This window comes from Homo sapiens, chromosome 4 (genome assembly GCF_000001405.40).
Source record: "Homo sapiens chromosome 4, GRCh38.p14 Primary Assembly".
Classification (NCBI taxonomy): domain Eukaryota; kingdom Metazoa; phylum Chordata; class Mammalia; order Primates; family Hominidae; genus Homo; species Homo sapiens.
The window spans coordinates 2524929-2539356 of record NC_000004.12 but is presented as its reverse complement, the minus strand read 5'-3'; the positions used below and the strand labels follow the sequence as shown (position 1 = coordinate 2539356).

The 14428-nt window shown below is 51.6% G+C and overlaps 1 protein-coding gene across 7 annotated transcripts in view, besides 8 other annotated features; it reads right to left on the bottom strand.

The window, feature by feature from the left end:
- The window catches only part of FAM193A (family with sequence similarity 193 member A), a 197199-nt gene extending 193217 nt beyond the window's left edge, over window positions 1-3982 (bottom strand). For 5 of the 7 annotated variants that reach the window (XM_011513590.3, XM_006713932.4, NM_001366318.2 and 2 more), the window contains exon 1: window positions 2187-2710. In XM_011513590.3, the coding sequence (XP_011511892.2) occupies window positions 2187-2441 (255 nt within the window). In that variant the 5' untranslated portion in view covers window positions 2442-2710. Of the gene's footprint in view, window positions 1-2186; window positions 2711-3640; window positions 3740-3825 lie in introns of those variants that run through there. The other 2 variants (NM_001366316.2, XM_047416341.1) reach the window with 2 other exon arrangements.
- Window positions 1501-1795: a silencer, noted in NCBI's record as "tiled region #6001; K562 Repressive DNase unmatched - State 2:TssF". NCBI's record gives its function as "represses a minimal TATA promoter and a strong SV40 promoter by Sharpr-MPRA in K562 cells {active_cell/tissue: K562}" and the evidence as "EXISTENCE:reporter gene assay evidence [ECO:0000049][PMID:27701403]".
- Window positions 1707-1756: a silencer, noted in NCBI's record as "silent region_15177". NCBI's record gives its function as "represses an Ori minimal core promoter by ATAC-STARR-seq in GM12878 lymphoblastoid cells {active_cell/tissue: GM12878}" and the evidence as "EXISTENCE:reporter gene assay evidence [ECO:0000049][PMID:35858748]".
- Window positions 1797-1956: a silencer, noted in NCBI's record as "silent region_15176". NCBI's record gives its function as "represses an Ori minimal core promoter by ATAC-STARR-seq in GM12878 lymphoblastoid cells {active_cell/tissue: GM12878}" and the evidence as "EXISTENCE:reporter gene assay evidence [ECO:0000049][PMID:35858748]".
- Window positions 2007-2296: a silencer, noted in NCBI's record as "silent region_15175". NCBI's record gives its function as "represses an Ori minimal core promoter by ATAC-STARR-seq in GM12878 lymphoblastoid cells {active_cell/tissue: GM12878}" and the evidence as "EXISTENCE:reporter gene assay evidence [ECO:0000049][PMID:35858748]".
- Window positions 2377-2476: a silencer, noted in NCBI's record as "silent region_15174". NCBI's record gives its function as "represses an Ori minimal core promoter by ATAC-STARR-seq in GM12878 lymphoblastoid cells {active_cell/tissue: GM12878}" and the evidence as "EXISTENCE:reporter gene assay evidence [ECO:0000049][PMID:35858748]".
- Window positions 2737-2786: a silencer, noted in NCBI's record as "silent region_15173". NCBI's record gives its function as "represses an Ori minimal core promoter by ATAC-STARR-seq in GM12878 lymphoblastoid cells {active_cell/tissue: GM12878}" and the evidence as "EXISTENCE:reporter gene assay evidence [ECO:0000049][PMID:35858748]".
- Window positions 2797-3446: a silencer, noted in NCBI's record as "silent region_15172". NCBI's record gives its function as "represses an Ori minimal core promoter by ATAC-STARR-seq in GM12878 lymphoblastoid cells {active_cell/tissue: GM12878}" and the evidence as "EXISTENCE:reporter gene assay evidence [ECO:0000049][PMID:35858748]".
- Window positions 3667-3826: a silencer, noted in NCBI's record as "silent region_15171". NCBI's record gives its function as "represses an Ori minimal core promoter by ATAC-STARR-seq in GM12878 lymphoblastoid cells {active_cell/tissue: GM12878}" and the evidence as "EXISTENCE:reporter gene assay evidence [ECO:0000049][PMID:35858748]".
- Window positions 3983-14428: the final 10446 nt, after the last annotated feature.

Sequence of the window (14428 nt, the reverse complement as noted above, 5' to 3'; positions counted from 1 at the left end):
TGGCAAGGGTCTGTGCCCTTAGTAATTAGTAAAACTAAGATGAGAGGGATCCCTTGAGCCCACAAGCTCAAGGCCAGCCTAGGCAACATAGCAAGACCCTATCTTAATAATAATAGGCATACAGTTATCTGATTTTGAATAACGCGACAAAAATAATAAAGGCAGGGCTGGGCACGGTGGCTCACGCCTGTAATTCCAGGACTTTGAGAGGCCAAAGCAGGTGGATCAGGAGGTCAGGACTTCAAGACCAGCCTGCCCAACATAGTGAATCCCTGTCTCTACTAAAAATACAAAAAAAATTAGCCAGGCATGGTGGCAGGTACCTGTAGTCCCAGCTACTTGAGAGGGTTAGGCAGGAGAATCGCTTGAACCCGGGAGACAGAGGTTACGGTGCGCCAAGATCGCACCACTGCACTCCAGCCTGGGCGACAGAGTGAGACTCTGTCTCAAAAAAAAATAAATAAAAATAATAAAGTTATATTTTACCTAAGTATTGCAAAGCAAATGTAAATTATTAAAACTTGAAATGGTATGAAAGGCTAAAACTAAGAATTTTATTGTGCCACCAACTGGTTTTTATTGAATCAATAGAAATGAATATATTCCACATCCAGCTACACCAAAAATTATCAATATTTTGTGTAAGGATATGCACAGGCAAACCCCCCCCGCCCTCCCCTACCCGACAGCAGCAAACACTGCCCTTAAAAACCCCAAAGATCCAAACGCTCAAGACTCATCCTTGATCCCAAGAACTGCGGCCTGTTTTGATCTCCAGGATACTGGATGAGGGCAATCTCGGGAGACTGAAGTCCAGGACTACAGCCCAAGACCCTAATGTAACAATATAATAATAATAAAAACGGCCGGGCGCGGTGGCTCACACCTGTAATCCCAGCACTTTGGGACGCCAAGGTGGGCGGATCACCTGAGATCACGAGTTCGAGACCAGCCTGGCCAACATGGTGAAACCCTGTCTCTACAAAAATTAGCCGGGCATGGTGGCGCATGCCTGTAGTCCCAGCTACTCGAGAGGCTGAGGCAGGAGAATCGCTTGAACCCGGGAGGCGGAGGTTACAGTGAGCCAAGATCGCGCCATTATTGCACTCCAGCCTGGGCGACAGAGCGAGACTCCGTTCTCAAAAGAAAAAAAAAAAAAGAACAATTTGTGTCATGATTTAGCACAAAAATACTCCCAACGCTTCTTTCATTTTTTAATTGCAATATCTTTAAAACTACATAATTTAAGAGTTTAAATAACATTATAAGAACGCAACTTTTCAAAAAAAATCTATTCTCTTTCAGCAGACAATGGGATAACTGGAAATGACTGCGCCAATTGCATACCCACTTATAAATAGTGTACCCTCTGAAATGTTGTGACCAACGGTTGAATAAAAGTGGCAGGAATCCATAATTGGTAGGTGCAATGTGTGCTAGCTGTCTTCATAAACAAAACTGAAAAAAATCACCTTTCAAATTCCTTAAGTTCGAACCCTAAATACATACCTGAGTAACCAAACCACTAAATACCCCTGAAAACTTAACAAAGCGGGGGAGGAGGGGCCAGGGCTGCCAGCTCCAGGTGGCTGTCAGGTAGATTTCAAATAACCACATAGGAGGACCAAAGGAAAACTTCCGGGAGGCCCTTCTCAATCATCACGCGCACGGAATAACGAAGGTGGCCAGAGAAACATTTCAAAGCCCTGGGAGCGAAAGGGCAGCTTTGCTCACTCCCGGAATCGCAGTCGCTCTGGAACCGCCGCAGCGGGCGAGGCGCCACGACAGAAGCCCGGGCCTCGCGGGTATCACCCGCCGGGTCCAGCGGAAGGCGAAGCGCCGTGCGCGGAGCTGCACCCCGGAGACGTCCCCGCCCGTTGAGGGGCTGCTCCAGCCTGCGGACCAGCCCGTCGCCGTGAGCGGCGGCCCCGGTGTAGCCCTCCCGCCGCCTCTGCTCAGGTTCTCCTCTCAAGAGGCTGACAGAGGCCGCGTCACGCCGAGCACGGCCCACCTGCCGCCCTGCCCCGGGACCTCGGCAAGCGCAGCGCCGCAGGACCCGTTATCCGCCCGCCCGCAGCATCCCGCTCCCAGGCCCGGGGCCGACAGCGGGAGGCCGAGCTCCGCCAAGGCGCGAGGGAACGGCAACCGCGTACCGCCATCGACCCCTGCCCGCTGCCGCCGCTTACCTCGAAGTAGCCTCCGGGGGCGGCGCCGCCCGCGCTCGCGCCCGCGCCGAGAGGCCCGTTGGCCGCCGCCGCGCCGCCCACCAGGCCTGCCGCGCTGCCCGGGGCCGCCAGGCCCGCGGCCTGGGAACCGCGCAGCGCCGCCGCCGGGCCGGCCTTGCCGCTGCTCGCGCCGCCGTTACCCCCGCCCGAGCCGCCGCCGCCGCCCCGCTTGTTCTTCCGGCGCTTGGCCCCGCGCTTGGCGTCGGCTGGGCTCATGGCGGGCGGGGAGAGGGGCGCAGAGCGGGCGCGGGGGCCGCGGGCGGCGGCGGAGGGCGGGGAAGGCGGGGAGGCTGAGGCGGCCGCGGCGGCGGGCGCTCCGGCCAGCCGGGGGGCGCTGCGCGGGGTCGCGTCCGGGTCGGGGAGGGCTGGGGCGGGCGGGAGCTGCGGGGCAGGCCGCTGGGCGGGAGGAACCGCGAGTCCACAGTCCCGGCGCCGCGGCTGACCAGAGTTAGAGTCCAATATGGCGGACACAAGGGGAAAGGGATCCCAGTTTACGTCGGGGGAGGGGGAAGGAGCAGCGGGGAGGGGGAGGGGTGTGGGCCCCCACCCCCCACCCCCACCCCGCCTTACTCCGCCCCCCGGCTCTGCTTTTCCCTTTGCTTGCCCACCCCCTCCTGCCGTTAACGTGCCTCGGCGCGCAGGACACGCCGGGAACTGAAGTCCGTGCTGCCCGTGCAGCAGCTGGGGGTACCCGGGGGTGGACCACGATTCCCGTCAGGCCTTGCGAGGCCGAGGGCCCGGGCGCTGGGAGGAGCTGGGGCCAGGGAGCTGGATGCGGCGGTGATGTCACCGCCTCGCTCGTCGCCGCAGGTCCCGCCCGCGCCGCGCGGCCTTCTGGGCGTTGTGGTCGGGCGTAGGGCTAGGCCGGCAGGAGGCCGCGCCGCCGCCCGCGAGGCAAACTACACGGCTGGCGGCAGGGAGTTCCGCCTCTCTGACCGGTGTCCGCTGCCCGCCCGCCCCGCCCGCCTCGCCCGCGCCCCTGTCCGCCGCCCAGGTGCCGCAGACCGGCGCGGCTCCCGGGATGCACCAGGGGCGGCGCGGCGCGGCCCTGGCCTCGCCAGGAACGCCCGGTGACCTTGGGCTAGTCTAGTTCTGGTCCAGATGACTCAGTGAGGACCACAGAATCCCTGCCTCGTGGGCTGGGCGGGGGTTCGGGCAGCGCTGGAAAGCCGGGCGCGGTGCGGTGGGGTCCGCCTGGGTGCGGAGGCAGCGGCGGAGCCGGCGAATCTTGGACCGGGCCTGGGGCTGGGACACGCCGGTCGGTTCCCCGAGAACCCCTCGCCTAAAGGGTGCTCTTCCCGAGCCCGCCCTCTCCCTGCTATCCCGTTAAGCCCTCTCCAGTGGTCCCGGTGCCTTGCTAATCCACGGGGCCCTAGGACGATCCGGCCGTGTCCCACACCCTCGCACTCACGCACCTCGGGGACGACTAGCCGGGTCAGACCCTCGCAGACGTCCAGATCAGAAATAAGGGCTTGCGTCTGGACCCTCCTCCCTCCGCGGCCTTGCAGACATCTGCGAGCCCCAGGCAGAGCTCTGCCCTGAGACCCGGGCCACGGGGGGACCCTGCCGGCGGCTCCGCCCCCTGGAGGGCCCCGCTTACCACAGACACAGAGGCACAAAGGACATGATTTCCCCTTTTTGGTTCCACCGGTGGTGTCAGGCCGAGAGGCGGCGGGCTTGGCATTGGGATGTACGGCCTGCCAGGCTCCCCTTGCAGCGTTAACCGAGCTCTACTGTTCGTCCTGGGTCCCCGCAACCCGCCCCAGCTGCAGCCACAGCCTCCTGATCCTCTGACCCATTCTTCATGACACAAGCAGAAATCTCATGTGATCAGAAGAAAGCTACCCTTAAAGCCATTCAGATACCATCCTAGACGAAAAAAGGCCCCCCGCCCCATCAGGGTCTTGGATGATCCTGCCACTGAACATGGATTTTGAGAGAGCGGGTAGGAATGCGTTTCTGGCCTCTTTTTCAGTGTCATAGGCTGTCCCTGCCCCTTGCCTCAACCCCTGTCCTTTCCTTTGTCATAGCACATTGCACAGGATTGGGATTCATGATGTCACCAGTATCCCCAAAGACAAAAGGTTTTATTGGGCAGGAGAGAACCTGAGAATGCCTGCCTCACACACCTCTGACACCCAAGCTACTGCAAAGCAAGAGGCTGAGCACCCAGCACTCTACTATTTGCTGAATCAATGAATGACAATAATGACCATTAGGCCTGGGTGCCTTGGCTCATGCCTGTAATCCCAGCAGTTTGGGAGGCCGAGGTGGGCGGATCACCTGAGGCCGGGAGTTCAAGACAGCCTGGCCAGCAAAGCGAAACCCCGTCTCTACTACAAATACAAAAATTAGCTGGGCATGGTGGCACACACTTGTAATCCCAGCTACTCGGGAGGCTGAGGCAGGAGAATCGCTTGAACCCGGGAGGCAAGGGTTGCAGTGAGCCGAAATAGTGCCATTGCACTCCAGCTTGGGCAACGAGCAAAACTCCGTCAAAAAAAAAAGAGGCCGGGCACAGTGTGGCTCTCGCCTGTAATCCCAGCACTTTGGGAGGCCGAGGTGGGGCGGGTCATGAGGTCAGGAGATTGAGACCATCCTGGCTAACACGGTGAAACCCCGTCTCTACTGAAAATACAAAAAATTAGCCGGGCCTGGTGGCGGATGCCTGTAGTCCCAGCTACTCAGGAGGCTGAGGCAGGAGAATGGCGTGAACCTGGGAGGCGGAGCTTTCGGTGAGCCCAGATCAAGCCACTGCACTCCAGCCTGGGCCACAGAGCGAGACTCCGTCTCAAAAACTCAAAACAAAACGAAAGAAAGAAAAGAATAAAAATAATGACAGGCCGGGCCTGGTGGCTCATGCCTGTAATCCTAGCACTTTGGGAGGCCGAGGTGGGCGAATCACCTGAGGTCAGGAGTTTGGGACCAGCCTGGCCAACATGGAGAAACCCCATCTCTACTAAAAATACAAAAATTAGCCGGGCGTGGTGGCAAGCACCTATAATCCCAGCTACTTGGGAGGCAGAGGCGGGAAAATTGCTTGAACCTGGAAGGTGGTGGTTGCAGTGAGCCAAGATCGAGTGAGACTCTGCCTCAAAAAAAAAAAAAAAAAAACAGATGAACTGATAAAATGCTATATACACAAGGGAGCACAATTTTTTGGAATGCTATTTAGCCATTAAAACCCCCAGATTTCTGTCATTTGCTGCAACATAGATGAGCTTGCAGGACATTATGTGATGTGAAAAAGCCAGGCACAGAAAGATAAGTACCACTTTATTTTTTTTATTTTTATTTTATTTATTTATTTTTGAGACAGAGTCTTGCTCTGTCACTCAGGCTGCAGTGAAGTGGCGCGACGTGGCTCACTGCAACCTCCGCCTCCCGGGTTCACGCCATTCTCCTGCCTCAGCTTCTCGAGTAGCTGGGACTATAGGCAGCCGCCACCATGCCCGGCTAATTTTTTTTGTATTTTTATTAGAGATGGGGCTTTCACTATGTTGATCAGGCTGGTCTCGAACTCCTGACCTCTTGATCCACCCGCCTTGGCCTCCCAAAGTGCTGGGATTACAGGCGTGAGCCACTGGGCCTGGCCAGATAAGTACCACTTTATCACTCATGTGTGCAAGCTAAAAAAGTTTATCTTGGCTGGGTGCGGTGGCTCACACCTGTAATCCCAGCACTTTGGGAGGGTGAGGCAGGTGGATCACTTGAGGTCAGGAGTTCAAGACAAGCCTGGCCAACGTGGTGAAACCCCGTCTCTACTAAAGCTACAAAAATTAGCCAGGCACGGTGGCGGGCACTTATAATCCCAGCTACTCAGGAGGCTGAAACAGGAGAATCACTTGAGCCCGGGAGGCGGAGGTTGCAGTGAGCTGAGATCATCCCACTGCACTCCAATCTGGATGACAAGAGCAAAACTGTCTCAAAAAAGCAAGCAAGCAAAAAAAAGAAAAAGTTGATCTCATAGAAGTAAGAGAGTAGAACAGTGATTTCTTTATTTTTTGTTTATTTATTTATGTATTTTGAGACAGAGTTTTGCTTTTGTTGCCCAGGCAGGAGTGCAATGGCCTGATCTTGGCTCACTGCAACCTCCCCGCCTCCTGGGTTCAAGTGATTCTTCGCCTCAGCCTCTCAACTAGCTGGGACTACAGGCACGCGCCACCACACCTGGGTAATTTTTTTTTTTTTTTTTTTTGAGATGGAGTCTCGCTCTGTCGCTCAGGCTGGAGTGCAGTGGCGCGATCTCGGCTCACTGCAAGCTCCGCCTACCAGGTTCACGCCATTCTCCTGCCTCAGCCTCCTGAGTATCTGGGACTACAGGCGCCCGCCACCATGCCCGGCTCATTTTTTGTATTTTTAGTAGAGACGGGGTTTCACCATGTTAGCCAGGATGGTCTCGATCTCCTGACCTCGTGACCCGCCTGCCTCGACCTCCCAAAGTGCTGGGATTACAGGCGTGGGCCACCGCGCCTGGCCTACACCTGGGTAATTTTTGTTTTTGTTTTTGTTTTTGTTTTTTTTGAGTCAGGGTCTCACTCTGTTGCCCAGGATAGAGTGCAGGGCATGATCTCGGCTCACTGCAGCCTCTGCCTCCCAGGTCCAAGCAATTCTCCCACCTCTGCCTCCCAAATAGCCGGGATTACAGGTGCACCACCATGTCCGGCTAAGTTTTTAGTACAGACAGGGTTTCACCATGTTGGCCAGGCTGATCTCGAACTACTGACCTTGTGATCCGCCTGCCTAGGCTTCCCAAAGTGCTGGGATTACAGGCGTGAGCCACTGTGCCCAGCTTAGAATAGTGGTTTCTAGAGGTAGGGAAGAGTAGTGGGGAGAGGGAGATAGCCAAAGGTTGGTTAATGGATACAAAAGTACAGCTTGAGGCTGGGCGCCTTGGCTCACTCCTGTAATCCAGCACTTAGGGAGACCGAGGCGGGCGGATCACCTGAGGTCAGGAGTTTGAGACCAGCCTGGCCAACATGGTGAAACCCCGTCTCTACTAAAAATACGAAAATTACCTGGACATGGTGGCACACGCCTGTACTCCCAGCTACTTGGGAGGCTGAGGCAGGAGAACCACTTGAGCCTGGGATATGAAGGTTGCAGTGAGCTGAGATTGTGCCACTATAGCCTGCCCAAGAGAGCAAGACTCTGTCTCAAAAAAAAAAAAAAAAAAAACAGTACAGCTTTGTAAAAGAAATGAGTTTAGTGTTCTATGGCTGGCACTATAGGGTGACTGTAATTAACAAAAATTTACTGTATATTTTCAAATAGGCAGAAGAGTAGATTATGAATGTTCGCAACACAAGGAAATAATAAATGTTTGTGGTGATGGATATGCTACTCTGATCATTACACATTCTATACATGTATCAAATTATCACACTGTACTTCATAAATATGTACAATTATATGTCAATGAAACATAATAAGGGCAAAATAAAAAGAATTTATATAACAAAAACGTTTTTAAAATAATGCATTCTTTGGCCAGGCACAGTGGCTCACGCCTGTAATCCCAACACTTTGGGAGGCTGAGGTGGGCGGATCATGAGGTCAGGAGATCAAGACCATCCTGGCCAACATGGTGAAACCCCGTCTCTACTAAAAATACAAAAATTTAGCCAGGTGTGGTGGCAGGCGCCTGTAGTCTCAGCTACTTGGGAGGCTGAGGCAGGAGAATCGCTTGAACCCAGGACGCGGAGGTTGCAGAGAGCCGAGAGCGCACCACGGCACTCCAGCCTGGGCGACAGAGTGAGACTCCATCTCAAAAAAAAAAAATTCCTTTTCATTGCTCAGTGGTATTCCACTGCATGGATGTCTCATAGTTTGTTTATACATTTATCTGTTGATGAATATTTTGGTTGTTTCCAGTTTTTGGTTATTACAGTTACTATCAACATTCATAAATTAAAAAAACCGAAAAACAAACAAACAAAAACACCAGAACATTCATGTACAAGTCATCATATAAACACGTTTTCATTTCTCTTAAGTAAACACCTAAGAGTGGTCATATGGAAGAGATATGCTTACCTTTTTTTTTTTTTTCTGAGAAAGAGTCTCACTCTGTCACCCAGCTGGAGTGCAATGGCACAATCTCAGCTCACTGCAACCTCTGCCACCTGGGTTCAAGGGATTCTCTTGCCTCAGCCTTCTGAGTAGCTGGGATTACAGGCACCTGCCACCACACCAGGCTAATTTTTTTGTATTTTTAGTAGAGATGGGGTTTCACTGTCTTGGCCAGGCTGGTCTTCAACTCCTGACCTCGTGATCCACCCACCTCGGCCTCCCAAAGTGCTGGAATTACAGGCATGAGCCTTTTTTTTTTTTTTTTTCTTGAGATGGAGTCTCGCTCTGTCGTCCAGGCTAGAGTGCAGTGGCGCTATCTCGGCTCACTGCCAGCTCTGCCTCCCAGGTTCATGCCGTTCTCCTGCCTCAGCCTCCCGAGTAGCTGGGACTACAGGTGCCTGCCACCGCACCTGGCTAATTTTTTTGTATTTTTAGTAGAGACGGGGTTTCACTCTGTTAGCCAGGATGGTCTCGATCTCCTGACCTTGTGATCCGCCGGCCTCGGCCTCCCAAAGTGCTGGTATTACAGGCGTGAGCCACTGCACCCGGTCCAACTTTATTATTTTATTGTTTATTTTGAAATGGGATCTCACTCTACCACCCAGGCTGGAGTGCAGTGGCTCAATCACAGCTTACTGCAGCCTGGACCTCCCAGGCTCAAGTGACCCTCCCATCTCAGCCTTCTGAGTAGCTGGGACCACAGGCACCTATCACTATGCCCAGCTATTTTTTTATTTTTATTTTTGTAGAGATGGGGTCTCACTATGTTGCCCAAGCTGGTCACGAACTCCTGGGCTCAAGTGATCCTCTGCTATGGCCTCCCAAAGTGCTGGGATTGCAGGCGTGAGCCACTTCATCCAGACTATTCTTTCCAATGTTGTTTTGCATATTCATATTCATATGAAATTCCTGTGAATTTCATGTGAATTTGAGAATCAGCTTGTCAATTTCTTTAAAAAAATCTGGTCAATTTTAACAAAGATTGTGGTAATGTACAGATGAATTTGTAGATAGTGATATCTAAACATTATTGCATCTTCCAGTTCGTGAGCTATATTTATATACATTTATTTAGTCTTAGCAATGTTTTGAGGTTTAGTGTACTTGCCTGACACATCTTTTGTCAGACTTATTCCTATGTATTTCATATTATTTTATGCTAAACTCTCCTTTTGTTTAGTTTTGCATTTTAAGAAATTGTTGGCCAGGTACAGTGGCTGACACCTGTAATTCCAGCACTTTGGGAGGCTGAGGCTGGCAGATCACAAGGTCAAGAGATAGAGACCATCCTGGCCAACATGGTGAAACCCCGTCTCTACTAAAAATACAAAAAATTAGCTGGATATGGTGGCGCGCACCTGTAGTCCCAGCTACTCAGAAGGCTGAGGCAGGAGAATCACTTGAACCTGGGAGGTGGAGGTTGCAGTGAGCCAAGATCAAGCCACTGCACTCCAGCCTGGCAACAGAGTGAGAAACCGTCTAAAAAAAAAAAAGAAAAAAAAAGAAATTGCTATAAAATATGTATAATACAAAACTTACTTTTTTTCTTTTTGAGACGAAGTCTCACTCTTGTCCCCCAGGCTGGAGTGCAATGGTGCGATCTCAGCTCACTGCAACCTCCACCTCCTGGGTTCAAGCAATTCTCCTGCCTCAGCCTCCCAAGTAGCTGGGATTACAGGCACCTGCCACCACGCCCGGCTAATTTTTGTATTTTTAGCAGAGACCGGGTTTCACCATGTTGGCCAGGCTGGTCTCAAATTCCTGACCTCAGGTGATCCGCCCGCTTCGGCCTCCCAAAGTGCTGGGATTACAGGTGTGAGCCACCACATCGAGCCAAAACTTTTTTTTTTTTTTGAGCTGGAGGCTTCCTCTGTTGCCCACACTGCAGTGCAGCAGCGCAATCTCTACTCACTGCAACCTCCGCCTCCCGGATTCAAGCGATTCTCCTGCCTCAGCCTCCCTAGCAGCTGGGATTACAGGTGCACGCCACCACAGTCTGCCAAGTAGCTGGGACTACAGGCTCGTGCCACCATGCCTGGCTAAGTTTTTGTATTTTTAGTAGAGATGGGATTTCACCGCATTAACTAAGATGGTCTCGATCTCCTGAGCTCGTGATCCACCCACCTTGGCCTCCCAAAGTGCTGGGATTACAGGTGTGAGCCACAGTGCCTGGCTTTTTCTTTTTCTTTCTTTTTTTTTTGTTGAGATGGTGTTTCGCTCTTGTTGCCACAGGCTGGAGTGCAATGGCGTGATCTTGGCTCACCGCAACCTTCACCTCCTGAGTTCAAGCAATTCTCCTACCTCAGCCTCCCGTGTAGCTGGGATTACAGGCATGCACCACCACGCCCGGCTAATTTTGTATTTTTGGTAGATACGGGGTTTCCTCATGTTAGTCAGGCTGGTTTTGAACTCCTGACCTCAGGTGATCCGCCCGCTTCGGCCTCCCTAATTTTTGTAGTTTTAGTAGAGACAGGGTTTCACCATGTTGGCCAGGCTGGTCTCTATCTCCTGACCTTGTGATCCACCCACCTCAGCCCTCCAAAGTGCTGGCATTTCAGGCATGAGCCATCGTGCCCAGCCAAAACTGACTATTTTAATCATTAAGTGTACAACTCCGTGGCATTATCTATATTCAGAATGTTGGGCAACTTTTACCACTATTTTCAGAACTTTTTTTTATCATCTCAGACAGAAATTCTGTAGCCATTAAACAGTAACTTTACATTCCCCCTACCCTCAGGCTGTGGTAACCTCTACTGTTTAAATTTTTCATTTATTGTTTTTTAGAGAGAGCGTCTTGCTCTGTCATTCAGGTTGGAATGCAGTGGCACCGTTCATGGCTCACAGCAGCCTTGACCCCCTGGGCTCAAGCAATCTTCCCATGTGAACCCCTGGAGTACGTAGGCCATTTATATACCTTCTTTGGAGAAATATCTATTTAAGTCCTTTGTCCATTTTCAAATTGGGTTGTCTGTGGTTTTTTTGTTTGTTTGTTTGTTTTTTGAGATGGAATCTTGCTCTGTTGCCCAGGCTGGAGTGCAGTGGCGCGATCTTGGCTCACTGCAAGCTCCGCCTTCCAGGTTCACGCCATTCTCCTGCCTCCGCCTCCCGAGTAGCTGGGACTACAGGCGCCCACCACCACGCCCGGCTAATTTTTTGTATTTTTAGTAGAGACGGGGTTTCACCATGTTAGCCAGCGTGGTCTCAAACTCCTAACCTCGTGATCCACCCGGCTCAGCCTCCCAAAGTGCTGGGATTACAGGCGTGAGCCACCGCACCTGGCAGGTTGTCTGTTTCTGTTGTTGAGTTGTAGTACTTTATATATTCTGAGTATTAATCCAATATCAGATGACTTGCAAATGTTCTCCCATCCTGCAGGTTGTCTTTTCATATTTAAAAAATTTTATTTTGTAAATTATGTGCAAATATGCCATTTACTCTTGATAGCATCCTTTGATACACAAGTTCTTTTTATTTCTTTTCTTCTTCTTTTTTTTTTTTTTAAGATGGCGTCTCGCTCTGTCACCCAAGCTGGAGTGCAGTGGCGCAATCTTGGCTCACTGCAGCCTCCGCCTCCCGGGTTCCAGCAATTCTCCTGCCTCAGCCTCCCAGGTAGCTGGGATTACAGGTGCCCGCCACCATGCCCGGCTAATTTTTGTATTTTTAGTAGAGACAGGGTTTCACCATGTTGGTCAGGCTGGTCTCAAAATTCTGACCTCAAGTGATCCGCCCACCTGGGCCTCCCAAAATGCTGGGATTACAGGCGTGAGCCCCCATGCCTGGCCGGTTTTCTATATATAATATGTCATTTGTGAACAGAGATAGTTCTACTTCTTCACTTCCAATTTGGATGCAGCCTGTTTCTTTCTTGCTTAATTGCTCTGACTAGAACTTCCAGTATTTGGTTCAGTAGAAGCGGCAACAGCAAGCGTTCTTGTCTTGTTTCTGGATCTAAGGTGACAAGCTTTCAAGCTTTCAGTCTTTCACCACTGAATATAATATTAATGTGGGTTTCTTTTTTTTTTTTTTTTAGACAGAATCTCACTCTGTCGCCCAGGCTGGAGCGCAGTGGCATGATCTCAGCTCACTGCAACCTCTGCCTCCTTAATTCAAGCCATTCTCCTGCGTCAGCCTCCCAAGTAACTGGGACTACATGCGTGCACCACCATGCCCGGCTAATTTTTATAGTTTTAGAAATACAAAATGAGTGTTTGTACACACGGTGAGATGGGGTTTCACCTTCTCGGCCAGGCTGGTCTCGAACTCCTGACCTTAAGTGATCCACCCGCCTAGGCCTCCCAAAGGCTGAGGCTGGGATTACAGGCATCAGCCACCACGCCTGGCGAAATGTGGCCTTTTAATATGGCCCTTATAATGTTGAGATAGTTTTCTTCTGCACTTGGGTTTTTATCATGAAAAGGTGTTTTGTTTAGGATTTTTGCATCTATATTAATAAAATACATTGTTCTACAATTTTTTTTTGAGACAGAGTTTCACTCTTGTTACCCAGGCTGGAGTGCAATGGCGTGATCTCAGCTCACTGCAACTGCTGCCTCCTGAGTTCAAGCGATTCTCCTGCCTCAGCCTCTCGAGTAGCTGGGATTATAGGCACCCACCACCACGCCCAGCTAAGTTTTATATTTTTAGTAGAGACAGGGTTTCTTCACCACATTGGCCAGGCTGGTCTCGAACTCCTGACCTCAGGTAATCCATCTGCCTCAGCCTCCCAAAGTGGTAGGATTACAGGCGTGAGCCACCGCGCCTGGCCAGTTCTGCAGTTTTATTTTCTTGCAACGTCTTTAGGTGGCTTCAGTATTAGGGTACTATTGACCTCACAAAATGAGTGAGAAAGTTTTCTTTCCCGTTCATTTTACAATGAAGTTTGAGAAAGATTAGTCTTTTTTTTGTTGTTGTTGAGACGGAGTCTCGCCCTGTCGCCCAGGCTGGAGTGCAGTGGCGCAATCTCGGCTCACTGCAAGCTCCGCCTCCTGAGTTCATGCCATTCTCCTGCCTCCATGCCATTCTCCTGCCTCAGCCTCCTGAATAGCTGGGACTACAGGCGCCTGCCACCACGCCCTGCTAATTTTTTTTTTAGTAGAGACAGGATTTCACCGTGTTAGCCAGGATGGTCTCTATCTCCTGACCTCGTGATCCACCTGCCTTGGCCTCCCAAAGTGCTGGGATTACAGGCGTGAGCCACCACGCCTGGCCTTTTTTTTTTTTTTTTTTTTTTTTTTGAGACAGAGTTTTGCTCTTGTCACCCCAGCTGGAGTGCAATGGCACGATCTCGGCTTACTGCAACCTCCGCCTCCCAGGTTCAAGCGATTCTCCGGTTTCAGCCTCCTGAGTACCTGGGATTACAGGCGCCCACCACTGTTCTTGGCTAATTTTTGTGCTTTTAGTAATGATGGGTTTTTACCACCTCAGCAAGGTTTGTCTCGAACTCCTGACCTCAGGTGATCCGCCTGCCTTGGCCTCCTAAAGTGCTGGAATTACAGGCATGAGCCACCGTGCCTGGCCTCAGAAAGATTAGTCTTTATTTTCTTTTACGTTTGTTAGAATTCACCAGTGAAGGTCGGGTGCAGTGGCTCATGCCTGCAATCCCAGCACTTTGGGAGGCTGAGGTGGGTAGATCACGAGGTCAGGAGATTGAGACCATCCTGGCTAACATGGTGAAACCCCATCTCTACTAAAAATACAAAAAATTAGCCGGGCATGGTGGCAGGTGCCTGTAGTCCCAGCTACTCGGGAGGCTGAGGCAGGAGAATCACTTGAACCTGGGAGGCAGAGGTTGCAGTTAGCCGAGATCACGCCATTGCACTCCAGCCTGGGCAACAATAGCAAAACTCTGTCAAAAAAAAGAAAAAGAAAAAAGAAAAAAAAATCCCAGCACTTTGGGAGGCCGAGTTGGGCAAATCATGAGGTCAGGAGTTTGAGACCAGCCTGACCAACATGATGAAACCTCGTCTGTACTAAAAATACAAACAATTAGCTGGGCGTAGTGGTGGGCGCCTGTAATCCCAGCTACTCGGGAGGCTGAGGCTGGAGAATTGCTTGAACCTGGGAGGCGGAGGTTGCAGTGAGCCGAGATCGTGCCACTGCACTCCAGCGTGGGTGACAAAGTGAGACTC